This window comes from Homo sapiens, chromosome 8 (assembly GCF_000001405.40).
Source record: "Homo sapiens chromosome 8, GRCh38.p14 Primary Assembly".
Classification (NCBI taxonomy): Eukaryota; Metazoa; Chordata; class Mammalia; order Primates; family Hominidae; genus Homo; species Homo sapiens.
In genome coordinates, this window is record NC_000008.11 from 53,854,480 (window position 1) to 53,879,680 (window position 25,201).

The following is a 25,201-nucleotide window of genomic DNA, read 5'->3' on the forward strand; positions in this document are numbered from 1 at the left end:
ACATTGTTAGCCACTAGGAGATGCAAATTAAAGTCACAGTGAAATATCACTACACACCGAGAAGAATAGCTAAAATGGAAAAAAATAGTGACTATAAAAATGGCTAGAATTGCTAAAATGGCTAAAATTGTGACAACACCAACTGCTGGAAAGGATGCAGAGAAACTGAATCATTAATACATTGCTGATAGGAATGTAAAATAGTACAGCCAATCTGGAAAACAATTTGGCAGTTTCTCATAAACCTGAAGATACAACTGCCATATGGTCTAGCAATTTCACCATTAGGCATTTATCCCAGAGAAATGAAAACCTACATTTGCACCAACCCTGTATGCCAATGTCCACAGCTGCTTTATTTGTAATAGTCAAAAACCAGAAACAACCCAAAAGCCCTTCAAGGGATGAATGATTAAACAAACTGTGGTACATCCATACTATGGAATCCTATGAAGCCACTAAAAGGAATGAACTACTAATACACGAAACAACTTGATAAACTTTAGGGAATGGTGCTGAGTGGGGGAGAAAAAGCCAATTCCAAAAAGTCACACACTATATATATGTGTATGATTCTATATAAGCCACTCTTTTTTTTTCTTTGAGACGGAGTCTTGCTCTGTCGCCCAGGCTGGAGTGCAGTGGGGCAATCTCGGCTCACTGCAACCTCTGCCTCCTGGGTTCAGGCGATTCTCTCACCTCTGCCTCCCAAGAAGCTAGGACTACAGGCACGTGCCACCACACCCAGCTAATTTTTGTATTTTTAGTAGAGACAGGGTTTCACCATGTTGGTCAGGCTGATCTTGAACTCCTGACCACAAGTGATCCGCCCACCTCGGCCTCTCAAAGTGCTGGGATTACTGACATAAGTCACCATGCCCAGCCTATATAAGCCACTCTTGAAATAAAATTATAGACGTAGAGAACATATTCATGGTTGCCAAAGATTAGGGATTAGGTAGGGTGGTGGATATAGCTACAAAGGGGTCATACTTTAAAGGGAGCCTGGTGGTGATGAACCAGTTCTGTGTCTTGACTGCAGTGGCAGTTACACACATTACATGTGTAATGTGCTAAAATTGCATGAAACTATACACGTGCACACACAGAAATGAGTGAACTCTGAAGAAGCTCTGTGAATGGTACCAATGTCATTTCCTGGTTTTGATATTGTTCTTCAGTTATGCAGTCTCTATTGAGGGAAACTGGGTGATCAGTACACGGGACCACTCTGTACATTCTGTGCACGTGATTTCCTATGACTATAGCATTATTTCAAAATAAACAATTTTAAAAAGCAAACCTCTAAAGGCAGGTTAAACTGACAATATGACACACAAATCACCTACATTTATTGTTGTGGTTATTCCAGTTGTTCTTTTCATTTGGCTCCTTGGGTTAATAGCATTGATGTGGTCTGACCTGTTTTAGAGATGAGAAAACAAGTTTAGATATACTATTGGTTGCATATGTGAAGTCAGCTGAGAGGTGATTTGAATCTGGATTTTCTGACACTGATTTCAATAAGTATTTGATAGCTTCTGACAGTGATTTAAAAAGTGGACTGTAGTTTCCTGGGCTTGAAGTCAGTCTTCTTCATAGTACTTTCTGTATGATTTCTGCCCAAAATACTCCAACATGGGCCACTAATTTACTACAAAATAAACTACAAAATCCCACGCACCTGCACATACACTCACACACTTGTCTTCATCAGATTATTTATTTATTTTTCAATTTTTTTTTTTTTTTTTGAGACTCAGTCTTGCTCTGTTGCCCAGGCTGGAGTGCAGTGGCGTGATCTCAGCTGACTGCAACCTCCACCTCCCAGGTTCAAGTGATTCTCCTGCCTCAGCCTCCCAACTAGCTGGGACTAAAAACGTCCACAATTACCCCCAGCTACTTTTTTTTGTATTTTTAGTACAGACAGGGTTTCACCATGTTGACTGGGCTGGTCACAGACTCCTGATCTCATGTGATCCACCTGCCTTGGCCTCCCAAAGTGCTGAGATTACAGGCGTGAGCCACCGTGCCCGGCTGATCAGATTTCTTTTTTCTTCCATCAGGATTTTTGTTTCCTTTCAGGGCAAGAATGCAAGTGGGAGGGCGGGTGAACTCTAGCCAGCAGTTTTTCTAGACAATCGACATGAGGAAGAGAAAGCATTACAGCTGCTCTAGTGATAAGTCAACTCTGTCAATATAGATATATATGTTTATGTGTGTGCATTCTTTCTTAATTATAAACATGGTCAGAGCTTAGACAAGAGAGCTGTTTCCACAAGGTTATTTTTCAGCCCATTCCAAAGTCAATGCCCTTCTGAAAGTGTGGGCTTCTGAGTGCTCTGCTGTTCCAGACATGTGATCCCTTGAGCAGCTGATCAAAGCACTTATTTTGAGACCTTATACACAGAAATGAGAAAATAAATCTCAAGGCACCAAAGGGCAGCTACAAAGACAATGGAGCCTTGTGTGATGAAAATGATAGAGGAAAGAAGAAAGGAAAAACAGCTTAGTAAGAGAGCAAGTACGCCTGTTGGCCAAACACCTTACCATAAGTGTATTCAGAAGACAGAATTATTCTGTCCTGCCTCCATTTGTGAAAGAGTAAGTTCACTGAGAAGAATAAAGTTGTTTCTTATTTTCCTGAAGGCGCTCCAAAAATAATTCCATAGTAAGTAGTTTAACACTTGAGATGTTCACAAACCTATTGAGGAAAGGGCTCATTTGGAAGTCAGCCATACTTCTCTCTGCCGTGGCTAGCATGCACATGTTCAGTGGCTGTCTCCTCTGGCACCTGCTGCAGGGTCTTCCCAAGTGAGGCCAAGGGGATGTGGCTCCACAGGCCTTGTGGCTCAGGTCCTTGGGTTCTCAGTGAGCAGTACTTACTTGGTCTTCCTTTGATGGAGACCATAAGGAAGACCTTGGGTATGCTCTTTGGGAAAGTGAAAAAAGGTCTTCAATTATTCAGCCTCTAAGCTCACAGAACCCAGGACAATCCATGTGATATTAAGAACAAAAAAAGAGGGGGGATGGAGAAAGGGAAGATGTTGGTCAAAGGGCACAAAGTATCAGTGAGATGAGAGAAATAAATTTTAGTGATCTATTCTACAGTATGGTGACTGTAGTTAACACAGCTTGAGCATCCCTAATCTGAAAGTCCAAAATGCAAAATGCTCCAAAATCTGAAACTTTTTAAGTGCAGATATGACATTCAAAAGGAATGCTCATTGGAGCATTTCAGATTTGGATTTTTAGATTCGGGATGCCAAGCCAGTAAATATAATGCAAATATTCCAAAAGCTGAAAAAAATCTGAAATCCAAAACACTTCTGGTTCCAAACATTTTGTTTAAGGAATACTTAGCTTGTAATCATGTATATTTCAAAGTTGCAAAAAGCAAATTTTTAACTGTCTCATCACAAAAAAAAAATAGATGAGATGATGGATATGTTAGCTTTATTTAAGGTTTCTACCATGTATACAAATATTAAAACATCACATTGTACCCCATAAATATATGCAATTATTATGTGTGAATTAGAAATAAAAATAAAAAAATAAAATAAAATAGTGTTTCATCTTGTCATAAAAGGTACTTATTATCATCCCAGAGACTATTCTTATATAGCTAACTTGGACAATCCCTTACATTAATTAAGCACCTAAGATACCAGCTAATGCCTTTCAAAGTAAAAAATGAAATGGTGATCAACTTAAAAGTAAATGGCGGCTAGATGTGGTGGCTCACGTCTGTAGTCCCAGCGTTTGGGATTACACTGGCAGCCTTCACCACACCATCCACTGGGCTCTAATCTGAGCACCTGTACACTCCACTTACAATTCTGATTAAGAATCTGAACAGGAAAAATTGAAAACCATTCTATCAATGAAACAGGCTAGTATCTCACTGCAGTAAGGCCCGCAGGAGAGGTCATAATTAGAAAACTCTGGTGACTATAAATAAAAAATAAAGCATTCTTTATATCAGAAATGGATGCATATATATATACATATATATATATACACACACACACACATCCTTTTAAAAACCTCTATGTACACATACCCGAAAGAAAGCATAATGTGTATTTGTGCTTTTCAGATATACATTGGCTTGAAAAAAGTCAATGTAATATTGCAAAGAGCCAGAGGTGGCATTGCTGAAGAAAGAGAGGCAGGGAAGAGTGAAAAGGGCGATGGCACATGATACTGATTCACCCTGGAGGTTTTAGAAACAATTGAGACGCCCCCAAGCAAGGAAGGTGGAGAAGGGTCTCCGGTGATCAGCTGGGGCAAGCTCAAAAGATTATTTGCTGCAGTTAATGTGGCCCCATTTTTTTTAACCTGTAGGCCATGTCCAATGCCTCCTTGACTGTCTGAAAAATATCCAGCAATGGAACTGGGGTTATGTTTAAAAAAAAAAAAAAAAAAAACCGCGGGGGGTGGGGCAGAGGAAGTGGGAAGTACTGAAAGGGTTTTCAGAAGAGAGATGTGGTCTTTGATTTGCCTTAAAATAATCCAGGGGAGGAGGAAAGTAGGAGTGTAAGAGATAATGCAGACTTGACAATGTGTTCTTAATTATTGAAACTGGGTGATGGACATGAGGGTTCATGAAGATAGTCACTCAGATTTTTTGTATTTTGAAAATTAACATAATACATTTGTTTTTAAGAATCCCAAAGACTAGAGCTTACGATGTACCTTTAAATTTAAATAACAAACGAACAAACTTTTCATATTCTATTTATACACCACAATGGAAGCTGTTGTGTATGCTGTCTAGCAAACATTCAGTAACTGCACAAATCATCTTGACCTTTTGGGGAATATTTTAAATGGCAAAAAATATCCCATATGAAAATCAAAGAAGCATACTGCAAAAATCCTGGCTAGCTTTAGTATACTGGTTTGTTTGTCTTTTCATTGATTTTACAACTCTCAGATTTTAAATGGTTTTAATGGTTACAGAAAAATATATCTAGTATCATTACCATTGTTCAAAAGTCTCATAAAATCATGTTGGCTTCCCTGCTGAAATCAAGCCAGTCTTCACAAAGCCACAGAATCACTGCAAATGTTTTAGAAAATTTACATTAAAGTTTTACCCTCTTGCAAGATAAAGATGTGAATAAACTATATTGGGAAACTCAGGGAGTGTATTAGTCCATTTTCATACTGCTGTGAAGAAATACCCGAGACTGGTTGATATATAAAGAAAAAGAGGTTTAATGGACTCACAGTTCCACATGGCTGAGGAGCCCTCACAATCATGGTGGAAGGCAAAGGAGGAGCAAAGGCATGTCTTACATGGTGGCAGGCAAGAAAGCGTGTGCAGGGGGACTGCCCTTTATAAAGCCGTCGGATCTCATGAGACTTATTCACTATCATGAGAACAGCATGGGAAAAACCCACCCCCACTATTCAGTTACCTCCCACCGGGTCCCTCCCATGACATATGGGGATTATGGGAGCTACAATTCAAGATGAGATTTTGGTGGGGACACAGCCAAACCATATCGGGGAGTAAACTTGTTTTTCTAGGTTCTCTAGAAACCATTTATTTCCATTCTATGAGAAAAGGTGATCCAAATCAAGCTTGTGTCACTTAAGAGTTTATTTTAGAAACATCTATAGAATGGTTTTACAGCTCCTGCATTTCAAATGACTGAAAAATGAAATTTTAAGATGAAGCAAATATGTTGAAAGGATAATAGTTTAAACCATATAGTGACAACTGGAATATATTCAAATATTCAAGAAAGAAACCCAAATCACAGACTACAAAAGTAATTTGATTTGACATCAACTATGTAACCAAATATGTTTTCCCATAAGACTATATTTGGCTTATATGATTTCGAATTCTCAACACTAAAAATTGTAAGGATTTATATTCAAGTGATAGATCATTCTAAGAACTTTTATTCAAAATAAGACTGGAAATGAACTAAAATATGCAAGACATTGTCTCAACACGTTTTTGTAACTGTCTGTTCAAATTGCATATGACTAGAAGACAAAAGGAAATAGCAAGGAGGCAGGAGGCTAGCAGCCCAGGAACCTCAGACCAGGAATCTGTGGAAGATAGTTTAACACCAGCAAACTGCCTCTAATAGCTGTGGCTCCATGTTCTCATTCCAAATTCCCAGGAGAGAGGATCTGGCCCAGTATAGATGTGGTCTCTGTCTCAAGATCCATCAGCCCTGCTGAGCGCAGTGGGTCACACCTCTAATCCCAGCACTCTGGGAGGCCAAGACAGGTGGATCACTTGACGTCAGGAGTTCGAGCCCAGCCTGGCCAACATGGTGAAACCCCATCTCTACTAAAAAATACAAAAATTAGCTGGGTGTGGTGGCACATGCCTGTAATCCCAGCTACTCAGGAGGCTGAGGCAGGAGAATTGCCTGAACCCAGGAGGCAGAGGCTACAGTGAGCCAAGATCACACCACTGCACTCTAGCCTGGGCAACAGAGTGAGACCCTGTCTCCAAAAAAAAAAAAAGATCAATCAGCCCTAGCTGTTCTTTAGGTTGTAAGACAATCTTAAGGGGTTGTCCAGCACATATTTTGAGTGATTGCAACTTTAAACCAACTTATGGGATTCCAAAATCAACGATGACACCTGAAGTAGACAGCCCTGATTTAGATATTTGAGGCCTGGCATTTTTATATCTATCACCCACAAGCTTTGTAATCACGCCTCAGAGATAATTCTACACATCTTCTCTGTTTATCTCCTATTCCCACCACCAGACATTCTGCAAAGTATCTGTGGATAAGCCCCACAAAACTAGAGTCAGCAGACCCTCAGCCCCTAGGGGACACAAGCTGTGAAGTTCTTGTGTGACCCTCTGTCCTCTCTTGAGTCAGCGTGACCCAGTGTGGGTCATCGGATAAACACCCACACTAATAAATGAATATTTTTACCTGTAAGTTATCAACAAAATATATAGATTGTGTGAAGTTACATAAAAATAGTTGAGCAAAATATGACCAAATGAAATGAATAAAACATTACTTGAAAGAAATGATCAAAGCAGTTGATACTACCAATGTCACACTGCATTTCCGAATTCTGTAATAAATCTGCTGTCTCTGCTTCTGTGAGTTGTATTTAAGGCTTTCATCTGTGACCATTTGCCCAGAGGATCATGTTCTGAAGGATATATTTTTGAAGTTTTCATTTGAAGAGAAAGTATTATTACCATCAACATCGTATCAGGAGGACATGCAATTAATTTTACAGACAGTTTTGTTGAAGAACAAGTTTGCTGGATTAAAAAGTAAGCTTATGATCAGCAAATAAAATCCAGGTACTATTGCTTCCTTTTTTCTGTTTTTGCCTTGTCTTAAAAATACCTGCACCTGATTATTTTTACCAACTTATTAGCATCATTAAGATCTCTAAGCTTCCCCTTTCCCAGAGCTGCAGTTTTGGAGAAGCCACACATCTCCCATCATTTGTTGGCCCGTGGGGAGTCCAAGCTTTGGGGGGGCCAACCATTGCCCCACATGGATTCTTTGCTACCCTGAAGATAAGCAGAGTGAAGGTGAGGAGGGTGTGAGGAACAGGAGGCAAAGGAGGGTCCCTCAGGCCCCTGGTCGTTAGCCTGGACCAAACTAGAAGTTAAGAGAAGTTTGCCTCCCCTCTCTCTCACCCACCCCTCACCTTGGACTCTTCGCCAACATCCACAGACATACCCTAGGAACCTCATTCTCTCATTCTGGCCTAGTTTCTCCCTTTAAAAAAAGAAACAAAAGTTCAAATTCAAATGCACTTAGATGTAAATGAATTCATACATCACTCCTGCTCATGAAATCTACAGGGAACACTCATATTAGATCCACAAGAATGAACCTGAGTAGTGTAATTTGGACCATATAAAATCTGAGCAGGTGGGAGACTTGGGGTTCAGGGCTACTTCCAGCCCCTCCTCAGAAACCACACTCCAGCGTGATGCAAATCCTGCTGGCTTCTACTTCTGATCACAGAGAAGGTGCAGCGTTCCTTGGTTCTGTCTTCACTTCAAAACCTCCTGCTTTATAAAAAATTAGCTGGAGGGCTAGGCATGGTGGCTCATCCCTGTAATGCCAGCACTTTAGGAGGCCAGTAGTTTGGGGCCAGCCTGGACAACAAAGAGAGATCCAGTCTCCACAAGAAAATTTAAAAATTAGCTGGGTGAGTGGCACATGCCCCTAAGTCCTAGCTACTCAGGAGGCTGAGGCATGAGGATTGCTTGAGCCCAGGAGTTAGAGACTGCAGTGAGCTATGATCATGCCACTACACTCCAGCCTGAGTGATGGAGTGAGACCCTATCTCTAAAAAGAAAAGAAAATCTCCTCCTTTTCTAAGTTGTTTTGGCCAAAAGCCAGGTTATAGTTCTGCTTGGTTTATCCATCAGAAATGGGCTGGGTTTTTAGATACACGAAATCACAAGGGGAGGGGGAAATAATGCCTTTGGGTTTTAGGAAATCGGGAACCAGAGAGCTCATGACATTTTCTTTTCTTTTCTTTTCTTTTGTTTTTGAGATGGAGTTTCGCTCTTGTTTCTCAGGCTGGAGTACAATGGCACGATCTCGGCTCACCGCAACCTCTGCCTCCCAGTTCAAGGGATTCTCCTGCCTCAGCCTCCCGAGTAGCTGGGATTACAGGCATGTGCCACCATGCCCGGCTAATTTTGTATTTTTAGTAGAGACGGGGTCTCTCCATGTTGGTCAGGCTGGTCTCAAACTCCGGACCTCAGGTGATCCGCCCGCCTCGGCCTCCCAAAGTGTTGGGATTACAGGTGCGAGCCACAGCGCCCGGCCATGACATTTTCAAATTCCTTCTCCCTGAGTCAAGATTCAGAGCTCATTGCTCCCTTCTTGGAATACAGCCCTCCACCTCACTCCCAGATGCAATAAGCATTCTCAGGGGCCCAAGAGCAGATGGGCTCTTCTTTGCTAATGCTTTTTAAAGGCAGGGAGTAGAACAATGGCAAATGGTGACATCTGGTGGAAATCCAAGCACTGCAGCACTTCGAACCAGTGCGACTTGAGGCTCAGTTGTAACTAACTGAAGTCTGAGTACTTGAAGATGTCCTTTTTTACCAAGTGAAAAGCTCAGTGATATCACCCTTTTGGCTGACACAGGTACACCCTGCCACCAAGCAAGATGATGACATAAAGGGCAATGTCTTTGAAATGCCAAGAATTGGTTTTTGAATTCAGGTCTAAGTTGTATTTCATTCTCTGAGTCTTTGTTTTATCTTTTTTTTTTTTTTTTTTTGGCAGAGTCTCACTTTGCCACCCAGGCTGGAGTGCAATGGCGCCAACTCGGCTCACTGCAACCTCTGCTTCCCCGGTTCAAGCAATTCTCCTGTCTCAGCCTCCCAAGTACCTGGGACTACAGGCTCATGCCACCACACCCAGCTAATTTGTATGTATTTTTAGTAGAGACAGGGTTTCACCATGTTAGCCAGGATGGTCTCAATCTCCTGACCTCGTGATCTGCCTTCCTCGGCCTCCCAAAGTGGTGGGATTACAGGCATGACATTTTATCTTCTATAAAATCAAGACAATAATACTTTTCACATTCAATTTGAATGGTTGCTTTGAAAAAATCAAATGAGACAAGGCATGTAAAAATGCTGGTAAACTATAAAGACATGGGCTTTTTTAAAAAACTCAGATCATGGTGGCTCACACCTGTAATCCCAGCACTTTGGGAGGCCAAGGCAGGTGGATCACTTGAGGTCGATCAGGAGTTCAAGACCAGCCTGGCCAACATGGTGAAACCCCGTCTCTACAAAAATACAAAAAAAAAATCAGCTGGGCATGATGGCGGGTGCCTGTAATCCCAGCTACTCGGGAGGCTGAGGCAGGAGAATAGCTTGAACCCAGGAGTTGGAGGTTGCAGTGAGCTGAGATTGTGCCATTGCACTCCAGCCTGGCGATAGAGCAAGACTCCATGAAAAAAAAAAAAAAAAAAAAACTCAGATACTTTGAGTTTTTCTTTTAAAAGCCTGCATCGGTGAGTCCAGCTTTCCATTAGCCCTGTGCTGCCTCCCGGGAACCCCTTGGAATCCTATGGGCTGGGTTTGTAGCCAGTTTCTCCCATAATAGTTGTTAATCTAGTTATCTCCATCTGCAGATGGACCTCGTACATAGTGGGCACAGAGTAAGAGCCCAGTTAATATTGATTGGCCAGTTGATTAGTAGATATAGAAATGCATTATTTCCCTAATTTTTTTCCACCATGTGGATGAAACAAGATTTCATCTGATTAAGGTCAGAGATCATATGGTATTTCTTGATGTCTTCAAACTGAAATTGTTAAAATCTTTCTTCAGACAAATGTTTCATATGCCCTGAAAGAAATTAATGACAGTTAAGAATTCTGAATGGCCCCTAAAATGTTTCATATCAAGGCAGTGCCAACCTCCAACTTCCCCAAGAAAACATCCCCTTTAAAATGCCAAGCAAAGCAGTCTAATTCAGTCGCGTCCAACTCAAAGAAATCAATGCCCGCTAACAAGTTCTCCCAGCAGCCAGGCCAGAGGAGGGAGAAAGCCTTAGAACGACAGGGCCCCGCATGGCCTGAACGAGGCTCACACAAAGCCTGGTTTATTAGGAACCACTGGAAAAGCTATAAAGCCCAGGCAGCCTTCCTGGGCCTGTCACAAATTGTCCACTTTGGAGAGAACAATGTCTTCCCTGTTCTTGCCGTCTTGTTTGTTGATTTTCAGGCTCCATCAGTGTGAAATTGAGAGATCCGGCCCAGGTCCGTGGGGACAAATGGAGTGGCCCTCTTGTGTCAGGCCTTCTCTGAACATCCATTTTAACAAACCTCATACCTTCAGGGTCTACTCATGCAATTGCTGCAGCCTCTATCCCACAGTTTCTCGCCTCTGTAATTGAGAAAGAGATGAGATGCATTGTTTAGAAATGTAAAACCACATCTATCAAAAAACATTTTTATTACAAAAGTGTTAGACATAATAGCATAATAAAACCGTATGTGCCCATTACCCAGCTTCAACAATTATCAACTCCAGATCATGACATTTCAAAGTTCATTCATTTAACAGATATTCATTAAGTACATGTTATATCCCAGTACTGCTTAGGTTTTTTTGTGGGGGTTTTTTGTTTGTTTGTTTGTTTTTGAGACAGAGTTTGCCCTCTCGCCCAGGCTGGCATGCAGCGGTGTGATCTCAGCTCACTGCAACCTCTGCCTCCTGGGCTCAAGCTGTTCTCATGCCTCAGCCTCCTGAGTAGCTGAGATGACAGGTGTGCACCACCATGCCCAGCTAATTTTATCCATTTTTAGTGGAGATGGGGCTTCTCTGTTTTGGCCAGGCTGGTCTTGAACTCCTGGCCTCAAGTGATCTACCTGCCTCAATGTTCCAAAGTACTGGATTACAGGCATGAACCATTGTGCCTGGCCAACTGCTTAGGGTTTTGAGACACAGGTCTGAATATTGCAAAGTCCTGAGGCTCACAGAGCTCAGAGCCTGATGGGAAAACAGACTATCACAATACAGAGCATGCAGGCAACCCCAACGTGAGAGAGCTTCCTGAGGGAAATGGCATCTAAGCTGAGACTTGAAGGATAAATAGGAGAGGAGATTGCCCTGGGAGAGAAGAAGAGGTAACTGGAGAGGGGAGTGATTCAGGCAGAAGCAGCAGCTGACACAAAGTCCCAGGAATGAGAATGAACAAGGAAATTTTAGGAACGGAAGGAACATGAATGTATGGTGCTTTGAGTACCAAGGAATAGGTGACAGAAAGATGGGTAGACAGAGTACACATCAGCAAATCGCAGAAGGTCTTCTATGCCATGTGAAGTCACTTGAACTTCATCCTGCAGAGAAATGATGAGCCCCTGTGAGGCTAAAAGGAAGGGAAGAGAAGGACACATTTACCTCTTTTTTTTTTTTTGAGTCTTGCTCTGTCACCCAGGCTAGAGTGCAGTGGCACAATCTCGGCTCACTGCAACCTCCGCCTCCCAGGTTCAAGCAATTCTCCTGCCTCAGCCTCCCAAGTAGCTGGGATTACAGGAGGCACCCACCATCACACGCCTGGCTAATTTTTGTATTTTTAGTAGAGACGGGGTTTCACCATTTTGGCCAGACTGGTCTTGAACTCCTGACCTTAGGTGATCCACCTGCCTCGGCCTCTCAAAGTTCTGGGATTACAGGCTTGAGCTACTTAGCCCAGCCTCACATTTACCTTTTAGAAAGATCCCTCATCTGTAACGTGGGGAATGGAGTGGGGTGGGCAGAGGCGCCGTGTAGGTGCAAAGGCTGGAACTGTTAAGGAGGCCACTATAATTTAATTAAGAGAGCTGGGAAGTAACTGTGGGGATGTTGAGAAGTGCATGCTTGGGGAGGCAGGTTGGCTCTCGCTGGGGATTATGCTCTGCTTCCTCTGTAAGGTGGAAGGTTTGGGGTTTGGACGTGTGTGTGTCCTAAGAGAGGGCATTGGAGACTGATTACGTATCAGAGAATGGGCCCCATGCTGAACCCAAACGTAGGCTCGGCTAGAAGCCCTAGAGACCATCTTCGGCACAGATGAGGAAACTGAGGCCCAGGCGAGTACAGAGATGGATCCAAAGTCACAAAGGAAACTTGTGGTCATGTCTCCCTCTCCTGACCCTTCCTCCATCGCTCTGTGCTTTAGCCAACTGTCTCCCTTCATTTCACCAGTGCCTCAGGAGAGCGGCAGAGCCTGGGAAAACGTGACAACTCAAATGGTGGCAGTGTGAAATTTATCTCTTATGCCACTCAAAAAAGAGAAGTTGTTTTTTAAAAAAAATATTCTGAGCAACTCCATCCCCTACGTTTCTCATGCTACATTTTTCATGCCTGCATTTGCTTCCACCAGCTCTTGGGATTTGGATGAGAGGGTTTTTCATTTCTCATGGCTACTAACATCCATCTTCAAAAAACCTTAGGATGAAATATGACAGTATGAACCTTGTTGACTTGTTTTACAGACTAACAATATTCTGTACTCCATGGATTTAATTTATCAAAGGTGTCTGGCATTACTTGACGCAGATCCTGCTAATATCTTCATTTTGGTGTGCACTCTTTACTGTGTAAAATGTCAGGGGCGTCTGTCATTTCTAATGCCCTGTTGGTATCTAAAACACTGTTTCCAAATCTTAGGTAAATCCAACCATTACGGAAGTAGTCTTCCTTCCTTCCTTCCTTCCTTCCTTCCTTCCTTCCTTCCTTCCTTTCTTTGTTTCTTTCCTTCTTTCTTTCTTTCCTTCTTTCTTTTCCCCAAGACAGGGTCTCCGATCACCAGTGCAGTGGTGTGATCCCAGCTAACTGCAGCCTAAACCTCCTAGGCTCAGGTGATTCTCCTATCTCAGTCTCCCGGGTAGCTGGGACTACAGGCACACGCCACCACACCTGTCTAATTTTTTTGTATTTTTTGTAGAGCCGGGGTTTTGCCACATTGCCCAGGCTGGTCTCAAATGCCTCTGCTCAAAAGATCTGCCCACCTCAGCCTCCCAAAGTGCTGAGATTATAGGCCTTGCCAAAGCTGGGTCATTCTTTTTATTATTTTTGTATTATTCAGAGAACTAATCAATTTACTAAGTAAAGTGGAGAATTAGCAGCCATGTGACTAACTGAGCTAGTACCTACAGAGTTCAAGTCAGTAATTCAACCTCCTGTGTAGGCTTGGAAATATGGGATTAGTAATTAGTCATTGAATTCCTATTTGCTGAGGGTGAGAGGATGACAAATTTAAATTTTGGTCTAAGATGATGAATGTGGTCAAAAGTACTTAATTACTCCTAGAAACTATCATAAATAGGCATTGGGAGAATATGAACCAAGAATATCACTCTCATAGATTACAGTCATCAGCATCAGTTAACAATGACTATGTCTCCTGGATATGGTGTCAAGGAGCGTGACAGCCAGGAGGTGGGTCTGGGGAGCCAGTTCTACTACTTACTCACGCTAACAGAAATCATCCGGCCTCACTGGTCTGCAGTTTACTCATCGAATAGCTGGGGGCAGGAGGGAGTAGTTATTGATATAACGTTTATAGGAACATTTTATAAATGTGTATACCTCAGGGTAAAAAAAAGTCAATATTCTTATAATAAAGATAAGTATACAAAATGTGTTTTTATAGGGTTCTACTATTCTCTAGGAATAGCTTCACTGGTAAATATATATATATATATGTATGTCTATATTAGATATAGATATACTCACTGAATTTTTAAAATTGTAAACCTCCATGATAAGAAAATATAGCAGTTTGGACAAATGCATTTTTTTTTTTGAGACAGAGTCTCCCTCTGTTACCCATGTTGAAGTGCAGTGGGGCGATCTCAACTCACTGCAACTTCCACCTCCCAGGTTCAAGCAATTATTCTGCCTCAGTCTCCCAAGTAGCTGGGATTACAGGTACGCACCACCACGCCTGGCTAATTTCTGTATTTTTAGTAGAGAAGGGGTTTCACCATGTTGGCCAGGCTGGTCTTGAACTCCTGACCTCAGGTGATCTGCCCACCTCAGCCTCCCAAAGTGCTGAGATTATAGGCATGAGCCACCGCGCCTGGAAACAAATACAATTTTTATAGAGCTGGGGATCCCAGAAAAACATTCTAAAACTTCAAAAGTGAGTTTTAAATGTTTCTTTTCAATTTTCTGATATCAAATGTAACAATTCCTGTCCTACTCTTTGGGGATATAGAATGCTACAAGAAAAGAAGCAGGAGCTTTAGTTTATTTCATGTTTGTTTTTCTTTTTAGTTAGCTAGCAAATATAAAAAGTGGGGAGAAAGCACAGGTAGATCTTGGAATCTTAGGACTTTGGCACATGGACTCTTTATATTCCTGTCATTTAAAATGTTGTTTAGTTAATTCACATTTATTTATTAGAACATTCAAAATTAAAATAGGGGCTGGGTGCGATGGCTTACGTCTGTAATCCCAGCATTTTGATAGGCTGAGGTGAGCAGATCACTTGAGGTCAGGAGTTCGAGACCAGCCTGGCCAACATGGTGAAACCCTGTCTCTACTAAAAACACAAAAATTAGCCGGGCATGCTGGCAGGTGCCTGTAGTCCCAGCTACTCGGGAGGCTGAGGCAGGAGAATCGCTTGAACCTGGGATTTGGAGGTTGCGGCGAGCCAAGATCACGCCACTACACTCCAGCCTAGGTGATAGCACAAGAGAGACTCAGTCTCAAAACAAACAAACAAAAAACCAAAACAACACAAAATTAAAATAGCACAGCTTTACAGTTGTCAGGACCGGTAGGCTACACACACCAAGAGAACATGGAAAGGTTTATTGATCACATATTGAGGCCCTCTGAGCAGAACAGGGCAGGACCACAAGCAGGCCCAAAATTGGCCAAGAGAGCAGAGAAAGGAGCGTGGCTTGGGGTTCATAGTGGGACTGAGTGGAGGGTTCTCCTTTGCAATGGCCAGGACTTGTGTGGTTTGAACTTCCTGCAGGTGCTGCCCAAGGAGGGAGCACCTGTGCTTTTGTGTCAGCTTACCCAGATGTTGGGCAGATGGGGGAGTAGGAGTGATGGTAACTAGAAGCTGCCAATGGCCAAACATTTAAAAAAAATGGATTCTGTGTCACAGACTCTTTATTACAACAATATAAAGAATAAAATATATACAGTATAGTCAGTCTCCATCCCACCTTTTCCAACCACCATTCTCTCACCCAAGGCACCAAACCACTCTTCACTTTTTTCAGCTCCTAAGCTCTATGCATCCTTACAGAGATAGTCTATGTATACACAGATATGTGTGTACACACACACACACACACACATCTCATTCCCTTTACAAGGAACAAAGAGTTAGACACCAGCTAGACTAGAGTTTGTTTATAATTCTTCAAACCTGCTCTGCTATTTTCTAGATACGATTCATTGGGCAAGTTTTTTCACCTTTATGAGTTTCTGAAGTCTTTACAGTCTTCTGTAAAGTGCATATGAGACTAATGCCTGCATGCATCATTATCGTATGGAATAAATAATGCATCTTTGGAACAGTATTAGGAACATTATAGATGGTGTCCCTTTTATCTTGTTTTTCTTCAACTTCTTGAGCTGCACTTCATCAGCCTCATTTGAAATTTCCCCTTCCTTTGTTGACTTTGAAATACCAGGAATTTTCTAGGCTTTCCTCCTTGGTCTTTTTCTCATTTCACTTGACTCATTCTCCCTGGCTAAGCTTGGCTGTGTCGGTGGCTTTGAGACAGCCTGTGGACTGATGATTCCACTCAGCTTTGTCTCCTGAGGTCCACACAGAAGCTGCAAATATATGCTAAGTGTCGAGATATAAATGTCTAGCAGCACTTCAAAATTAGCAATATAGGCCAGGTGCGGTGACTCACACCTGTAATCCCAGCACTTTGGGAGGCTGAGGTAGGTGGTTCACGAGCTCAGGAGTTCAAGACCAGCCTGGCCAAGATGGAGAAACTGTGTCTCTACTAAAACTACAAAAATTAGCCAGGTGTGGCGGCAGGAGCCTGTAACCCCAGCTACTCAGGAGGCTGAGACAGGAGAATTGCTTGAAGCCGGGTGGCAGAGGTTGCAGTGAGCCAAGATCGTGCCACTGTATTCCAGCCTGGGTGACAGAGTGAGACTCCATCTCACAAAAAAAAAAAAAAAAAAAAAAAAAAAAAGATTAGCAATATGTTTTCCCCTTTCCCCAGACTCTTCTTTTCCTGAGTTTTCTATCCAGCAAATGGTTCCCTTTCAACCTAGAAACTTGGAGGTATAATTCTTGACCTTGCTTTTGTCCTCATTTGAACCTCCAGTCAATCCTCAAATTTTGACCACACTACTCAGAATTATCCCTTGATCTGTTCATTTAGTTCCAACCCATTTAAAACTTTCCTGGATCAAGTCACAATCACTTCTCAAAACATTATTGCAGGCCAGGCACGGTGGGTTACACCTGTAATCCCAGCACTTTGGTGAAACCCTGTCTCTACTAAAAACACAAAAATTAGCTGGGCTTGGTGGCTGGTGTCTGTAATCCCACCTACTTAGGAAGCTGAGGCAGGAGAATCGCTTGACCCTGAGAGGCAGAGGTTGCAGTGAGTTGAGATCATGCCACTGCACTCCAGCTTGGGTGACAGAGTGAGAGTCCATCTCAAAAAAAAAATAATAATAATAATAATTACAACAGCTTGTCCCTGGTCTCCTTTCCAGTGATGCCTGCTTCTAAATAACACTAGAGGACAGAGAGATCTTTCAAAAACACACACATGATTGTGTTGACTTCCTGACTAAATGTTGTCAAGGGATACCCTTTTCCACCTAGATATGGTTCAAACTCCTTAAATTGATTCAGTCTTCTATCTCTCTGACTCTCCCTCTGTTTCCTGGTCTCTAGGGATCCTATCCAATTCCAGTAGCTTTAAATACCTTTGTATGCTAGTGCTTCCAAATTCACATCTCCTAGACTCCCACCCAGACCTCCCTACCCTAAGCTCAAGCCTCTTTTACATCAACCTGTCTGACATCTCCATTTGAATGACTCATAGGCATCTCAAAAATCTGTCTTTAGCAGGATTCTTGATTTTCCTCCCTAGTCCTCTCCTTTCAGTAAGCCATTCAACTGCTCAAGTAAAAAAACACTAGGAATTATCTTTGATTCCTTTTTTCTCAGCCTGCACTTACAATCCATCTGAAGTCCTGTTAATTCAATCTTTAAAACTTCTGCCAAACCTGTCCATTTATTTATGTTTTTATTTACATGACCTGTCCAAGTCATCATCTTCTTTCTTATTCCTACCCTTGCCCCCTCCCCAATTCACTCCAATACTCAGCAGCCAAAGCAGTCTTTAAAGATATAAACTAGATGTCTCTCTTGCTGAAAAACCTCTCAATGATTTCCCATTGCTTTTACAATAAAATCCAAAATCCTTACCATGATTTGGTTGCCCTTATTCAGGCTATATGGACCCTTAATACCCTCCCATTCACCACACCATGAGAGCAGGTCATGCTCTTTCTCATTCATGGAATCCCAAGCATCTAGGACAGTACCTCATACACAGGAGACACACAATAAATGTTTGTTGAAAGAATGAGTAAGTGAGTGGCTTACAAGACCCTTCCTCGTCTGGTTTCTGTTTCCGCTGTTCTCTTTCTACTCCCCCATGTCACAATATATGTTCCATCAAATGCTAGGAGCAGAATGAGACTAGGCAATGTCTCTCTTACAAGCACTTTGAGTGGCAGCAGCAGAAATCAAGTGAGAGAACCCCAAGAGATAGCTGCAAACTCAATGAGAGAATAAAGAGTAATTAACTCTGCCGTCCTTCCTCCCTGAATGGACTTCTTGGGCGCCTCTCAGCTCACATCTTGAGGGTTTTTTTTTAATTTAGTAAAATATAAACAACATAAAATTCACCATTTTAGGCATACAATTCAATGGCACTATCTATTTCCAGAACTCTTTTATCTTCCTGATGTAGTTCAGATGTTGTCTCCTCTAAATCTCATGTGGAATTGTAATCCCCAGTGTTGGAGGCATGACCTGGTAGGAGGCGATTGAGTCACGAGGGCAAATCCCTCGTGGCTGGGTGCTGTCCTCATGATAGTAAGTGAGTTATCAGGAGATCTGGTTGTTTAAAAACATGTAGTACTTCCCTCCTCTACTCTATTTATTGCTCCCCCTCTTGCCATGTGACAGGCCTGCTCCCACTTCGTCATCTACCATGAATAAAACCTCCCTTAGACCTCTCCAAAAGCTGGACAAATGCCAGTGCCATGCTTCCTGTACAGCCTGCAGAACCATGAACCAATTAAATTGCTTTTCTTGATAAATGACCCAGTCTCAGGTATTTCTTTATAGCAATGCAAGAATGGCCTGATACACGTCTCAAACAGAAATTATGTATCCACCAAACAATCACTCCCCATTCTCCCCTCTTCTCAGCCTCTAGTAACCTCTATTCTATTTTCTGTCTCTTTGAATTTGTCTATTCTTGGCACCTCATATAAATGGAATCATACAATATTTGTCCTTTTGTGTCTGTCATCTTTCACTTAACATCATGTTTTTAAGGTTCATCTATGTCATAGCATATATCAGAATTCCACTCCTTTTTATGGCTGAATGATATTTGAGTTTGTTTTTAATTCATCTATCCAACAAATATTAATTGAGTAGTTTATCCACCCAAGCACTTTTCTAGATTCTATGGAGGGAGCAATAAGTGAAAGAGACAAAATTATTGCTTAGTTCTTACAAATAAACAAGTGAATATATACTATGTCAGATGGTGACAAGTGCTATAGAAAAAAAACTGTATTGCAGAGAGGAACTGTAGAGGAAGAAGAGATCTCAAAGGCAGAGTGGAATCATTCACGTAGTTCCTTGAGAACTAGAGTAAGGATTTTGGATTTTACTCTGAAATGAGAAGTCAATAGAAAGTCTGGAGCCGGGATGGGTGCAGTGGCTCACACCTGTAATCCCAGCCCTTTAGGAGGCCGAGGAGAGTGGATCACTTGAGAACAGGAGTTCAAGACCAGCCTGGCCAACATGATGAAACCCTGTCTCTACTAAAAATACAAAAAATTAGTTGGGCGTCATGGCACACACCTGTAATCCCAGCTACTAGGGAGGCTGAGGCATAAGAATTGCTTGAAGCCAGGCGGTAGAGGCTGCAGTGAGCCCGGTGATCCAACAAAGCAAGACTCCGTCTCAGAAAAAAGAAAAAAGAAAGAAAGTCTGCACCTGTAGAGTGACATTTTCAAGGATAACTGTTTTGAAGGATAACTTTGGCTTCGGTGTTGAGATGAGACTATGACAGGAAATATGGCAAACGGAAGGAGAAAGATCAGTGAAAGGTGTGCATTAGTCAAGGTTCCCCAGAGAATCAGAAGCAATAAGGGGTGTGTGTGTGTGTGTGTGTGTGTGTGTGTGTGTGCGCGCGCGTGTGCTTGCGTGCATCTGTGTGTTACATGGGGAGAGATATACTTTAAGGAATTGGCTCATGTAATTGTGGAGGGTGTCAAGTCTGAAATCTGTAGGGCAAGCCAGCAGGCTGGAAATTCAAGTAAGAGCTGATGTTGCAGTCTTCATTCTGAAGTCCACAGGACAGGACAGAACAGTTGGAAACTCAGTCAGCGTTTCCATGTTGCAATCTTGAGGCCAAATTCCTTTTGAGGTAGAATCTACTCCATGCCTCTTCTTAGCCTCTGGTGGTTTGCTGTCAATCTCTGGCATTTCTTGGGCAGTGGATGCATCAACCCAATTTCTGCCTTACATGGCATTCTCTCTGTGTGTATATCTGTGTCGAAATTTCCCCTTTGTATAAGGACACCAGTCATACTGGAATAGGGTGTCCTTCATCTTACTAATTACATCTGCTGCAATGCTATTTCCAAGTAAGGTCATATTCCAAGGTACTAGGGACTAGAATTTTAATATGTAAATTTTGGGAGGTGCAAGTCAACCTATAACACAGGGTAACAGCTGTGAATATGAAGTAGTTGGATTTGGCCAGAGAATTTTAAAAAGAGAGTCTGGGATACTCCAATGATGTTTTTCGCCTGAACAAAAATAGTTAAACTTCCCATTTGCTGAGCTGGTGAAGACTGCAAGAGGAGAAAGCTCGGAGAAGAATAACAAGGGTTCAGTTTTTTATGTAATAAGTTTTCAAAGCACCATCTCCAGCAGGGCATGGTGGCTCACACCTATAATCCCACCACTTTGTGAGGCCAAGGTGGGAGGATTACATGAGGTCAGAAGTTTGAGATCAGCCTGGCCAACATGGTGAAACCCCATCTCTACTAAAAATACAAAAATTAGCTGGGCATGGTGGCACATGCCTGTAGTCCCAGCTACTAAGGAGGCTGAGGCAGGAGAATCGCTTGAACCCAGGAGGTGGAGGTTGCAGTGAGCCGAGATCACACCACTGTACTCCAGCCTGGGCAGCAGAATAAGACTCTGTCAAAAAAAAAAAAAAAAAAAAACCAAAAAAACCAAAAAAACTAAAAAACACCATCTCCTACCCTAAGTCCCTTACTTGGCTAGTAATACCTATGGCGAGAACAGAGGACCCAGTTATCTCTGCAGAAGCAAGGCAGACAGAGCCTTTGAGTGTTTCCCTTCTCTAGACATACAAGTCATCTAAGTAGCTCTCATTTCTGGCCCACTCCACTTCCCTTTCCAGCCCCTCCTCCCTCGTTATCATTGCCTCCATTACACAACATTTCCTTATGACATCTCCATGTAAGCCTTAGGCATAAATACATTTTAAAAGTTATTAAAAGAATGGAACAAGTCAGAACTGATTATGAGCTGCAGAAATATTCTTTTTAAGAGTTGTATGTTCACAAGGAACATTAAGATTCTGAAGGAACCTTAATAATAGAAACATATTATGAAGAGTTGGGTTCACCTCAAGTTAATATTAACCTGTGACTCTAATAGCCAGGATCTGTTAGCTTATTTATATTGCCACCTTTCAATCTGCATAATTTATGGTCAATGCAGGGAAAGATTTGCCTTTATAGTTTTCACTGTCAGCTAGATTCTTCCATCCAAGTGGAAGAATTACATTTCCAAATAACAGAAAGTTAAAATGTATAATGTGACTAAACTACAGCAAAGTGGAACTTAAAAATAAAGTTCAGGAGAAAATAGGTCATTTCATAAAACTAACTTCAAATTCTATTTGAACTGTGACTTTAATTCTAAAGAGTCTCAGAAATTTTTGGTACAGGAGTCATTTATTCTGCTATGGATATTTCCTTTATGAAATGCTGCTATTTAAGCATGAATGAAAACCTTCCATTTGAAATGGGCAAGACATTGTTCATACGGATTTAGGCTGTGGCGATTTTCGTCTGCATAAAGGCACTCTGGTTGCTGTTCAGTAGCCAACATGATTGATTAGGGAAGTGGTGGTTCAATCAGAATAAAGTATTCCCCAAGTATTCTGGATCCCTAAGGACCAGTGCTTCCAGGAATACGGTACTGATGATTCCATTTTGTGGCTATTTTTTGACAGTCCTCAGACTGTCAAATAGAATCTGGCCTAAAAGGAGGACAAGGCTCTCTGAAGTGCAGCCCTTCGGGCAGCTGAAGGTCTTTCTGCAGATAACTTTTCTCAGATCGAATTTTTTGGCTACATTGATACTCTTCGGCTCTGTCCTTGCCAGAAGTTCGGAAGGATTCCAGCGCCCCACACCTTGCTTGATTCACCCTCATCCCCTCCCCTAACTGGAGAAGCCGCTGGGTCCCGCGCCAGGCTCGCGGTGGCTTCAGAGTAGCAGGGGAGCAGGCGGCTGATCCGGAGGCCAGTGTGGGGCCGGCAAGCGGTGACTGTCTCCAGAGGAGCAAAGGAGCCGAGTCTTGTTTTTCTTGGATCAGGTTTGGGACTTTTATTCTGTCTGACCATTTCCACCACTTGCCTCACAAGAGTCTCTGTCTCGAAGCACAGGACCGAAGCAAAATGCCTAATGAAGCGTGCCTGAGGAAGGGGCAGGGGCTTGCAAGTGACTTGGGAAGAAGGACTGGGGCGAAGGGAGAAAGGAGGTTACGAGTTCGCACGTTCTCACAAAACCATTTGAAAACATGAGCTGGAGACGCCAAATTCTGGGACCCACGAAAGGCTTTGGAGCTCGCTCGGGCTCCTCGAAGTTGGGCGTGCGTCGCAGAACAGTGCTGGGCGCTCTCTTTCAGCATTTTCGGCTTTTTTCAAGCCCTTGCGTAGGGTCGGGAAGGCCGTGGGTGGGCTCAGTCAGGCTTTAGGTCGCCAGGAACCCGGCTGGTCCTCTCTCGACTTCTTAGCGTGGGGTCCCGCCGGCCCTGCCGCCCGTGGCCGCCGAAGTTCCCGCCCTCGCCGAGGGCCCTCGCTCCGGAGTGGGGCGCAGACGCGGCCGCCGGCCCGCAGTCCCCCGCAGGTGCCGCCCAGGACTAGCTGCCCGGCGGAGGCCGAGCACGCTTGGCGGCAGCTGAGCCTCCACCCCAAGCCCCAGCCGGAGGGGCGCGTCCCCTGTCCTCCTCCCGAGCGAGACGAACGCTCAGCAGCTCGTTCCCTGGGCGCCAAGACCGATTTCCAAGTCGCCCACTTTCCCCCTCGAGGGAGCTGTTGGCGCTTCTCCAGAAGCCTCCTCGGCTCCCAGCTCCAGCCCCTAAAATAAAAGCACCTTGCCAGAGAGCGGGGGAGGGGAGCAGCTGAACGAGGAGAATGAAAATACTGGGAGAACGACCCCATTCTCCAGGAAAAGGTAATGAGGGGAAGTGAAACAGTGTGAACTTACTCGGAAATGCAAACCGAGTTCAACTCACCCAGGAGCAAACAAACGACAGCAAGACAAATCAGCCACCGCACTCGCGGCTTCCCAGAAAGGGCCTCATGAATGAGAATGGGTTGCTAGGTTTCCTTCCCTCTCTCCTGACAATCGCTTCCCACAAGACTTCCACCGCCGAAAGAATACAGGCCGGGCCTGGTGACTGCGGAGTGAGGGAACCGCGCCAGGCCCACGAGGCCGCTCGCGACCGCTCCCGCCTTCAGGACCCTGGAGAGCGGCCGCCGCGCCCCTGGGACCCACGCCCAACCCAGAACACCCGCGCTCGCCTCCCGCGCCTCACCACCCCAGCACTTTATTCGCTGCTTCCCGCCTCCACCTTCATTTTTTTTGGCAACCACCGCTCTTGTTTTTCACAGACAGATTAAATTGTTTTTTGTTTGGCATGAGGGGGTGTTTGGATTGGCCGAGCTACATTCCGGTTTGTAACTACACTAAACGTTAGTGTACCAAGAAACTAAGAGCGTCTCAAAGATGACAGTCTGAACGTGGCAGGTGACCTTAAAAAGCCACTGAGTTCAACCCCTTTATAAATGAACTCAAAAAATAAAGAGACATTCCCAAGGTTAGCCATTAAGTTAGTGGCAAGGTTGAGTGTAGAACCGTGGGTTTCTGACTTCTAAACTAGTGCTTCCCTCCACTTTCCAAAAGAAAAAAAATATCTCATTGCTTAGGTCTCCTAAGCAACAAGTGGAAGGTGGAAAGGCCGGTGTTCCCGGGAATAAGAAGGACACATGGAGTTTGGAAAGGAGGTCTGCAGAGGGTTCACTTGTAGTAGCAGCCCTAACATGGAATCCCGGTGTCCCCAGCTCCACGCAACATACCTACAGCCGCACTGGCCAGTCCCTTTTTCCAACCAGCCTGTGGAGGGTCTGAGGCCCTTCAGCCACCTTCAGCCACTATCTGGACCTTCCATAGACAACAATCCCAATAGAATCTAGTAGCCAAGGCCAACTCTGTGCCTCTGGCAGGCAGAGCCCTGGGCACTTAGGGAGATGGGAAAGGGCAGGGGGAACAAGGGAAGACCAGAGAAGGGAGGGGAAGAGCAACAGTTACAAAAGTGAACTAAGATTTTCATCCAAATTCTGAAGAACCAGGCGATGTGAACACAGACCCTTCTGCATACCGCATGTCACATTCAGCGCGCATGGTAGTCCCCTGGGAATGTTACCATGCAGATTCCGATGCATTGGCTGGGTGGGGCTCAAGAGTCTTTATTTCTAACAAGCTCCTAGGTGTTGGCGAAGCTGCTGGCCTACGGACCACACTTCAAGTAGCACGGAGTTAGGAAATACAGGAGTGGGAGGGGAAAGAATCTAACTATAGGCCTTTCCTTCTGCTTTCACCGACCTTCTCTTGCACCCCCAAAGTAACGCTTCAAAATTCTGTAGTAAAGAGCCCCATCTAAGCGGCCGGACACCACAGTAACCGTATGCTGGTTTTGTTTCTCTCTCCCCACCCCAGTCCTTCCCGCCTGCACAGCTCCCAGACTCGCCCGCCGCCCCGAAGCTGTTCGGCCTCCTTTCTAGCCCGCTTTCCAGCCTCGCAAGGTTCTTCTCTCACCTTCTCCGGCGACCCCCTCCCGAGGCTCCCCGGAGGCGCCTGGACTTCTCCCCCCTGCTTCCCGCCCTGCCGGCCGCCCGGCTCTCGAGGGGGCACGAGGAGCTGCCGGGCCGCCTCTCGCTCCTGCTCGGGGCGGCGCTGGCACTGCCCGGCCGACCCTCGGGGGGTCGTCCGCTGAGGCCCCCCCATCCGGTAGCCAAGCCCAGGGAAGAAGACGCCACCGCTGGGCAGAGCTCGCCTATGCCGGTGAGTACCGTGGTCTCCACTACGCCCCACACCCAGCCTCCCCAGGACACCAGCCTCTCCCGATTCTTCCTAACCCCA

At 44.0% G+C, this 25,201-nt stretch overlaps 1 protein-coding gene across 4 annotated transcripts in view, besides 1 other annotated feature; it reads left to right on the top strand.

Moving 5' to 3' along the window:
• Positions 1–25,201, top strand: part of RGS20 (regulator of G protein signaling 20) — a 107,509-nt gene that overhangs the window by 2,685 nt on the left and 79,623 nt on the right. Inside the window, exon 2 of one of the 4 annotated variants that reach the window (NM_170587.4) lies at positions 24,779–25,123. The exons of the other annotated variants lie outside the window; for them this stretch is intronic. Within the exon in view, the coding sequence (NP_733466.1) occupies positions 24,779–25,123 (345 nt within the window). The remainder of the gene's footprint in view (positions 1–24,778; positions 25,124–25,201) is intronic. 4 annotated transcript variants of the gene reach the window in all.
• Positions 22,248–22,748: an enhancer, noted in NCBI's record as "H3K4me1 hESC enhancer chr8:54789287-54789787 (GRCh37/hg19 assembly coordinates)". NCBI's record gives its function as "activates a minimal SCP1, AML or CMV promoter by ChIP-STARR-seq in naive H9 embryonic stem cells {active_cell/tissue: H9 hESC(naive)}" and the evidence as "EXISTENCE:reporter gene assay evidence [ECO:0000049][PMID:30033119]".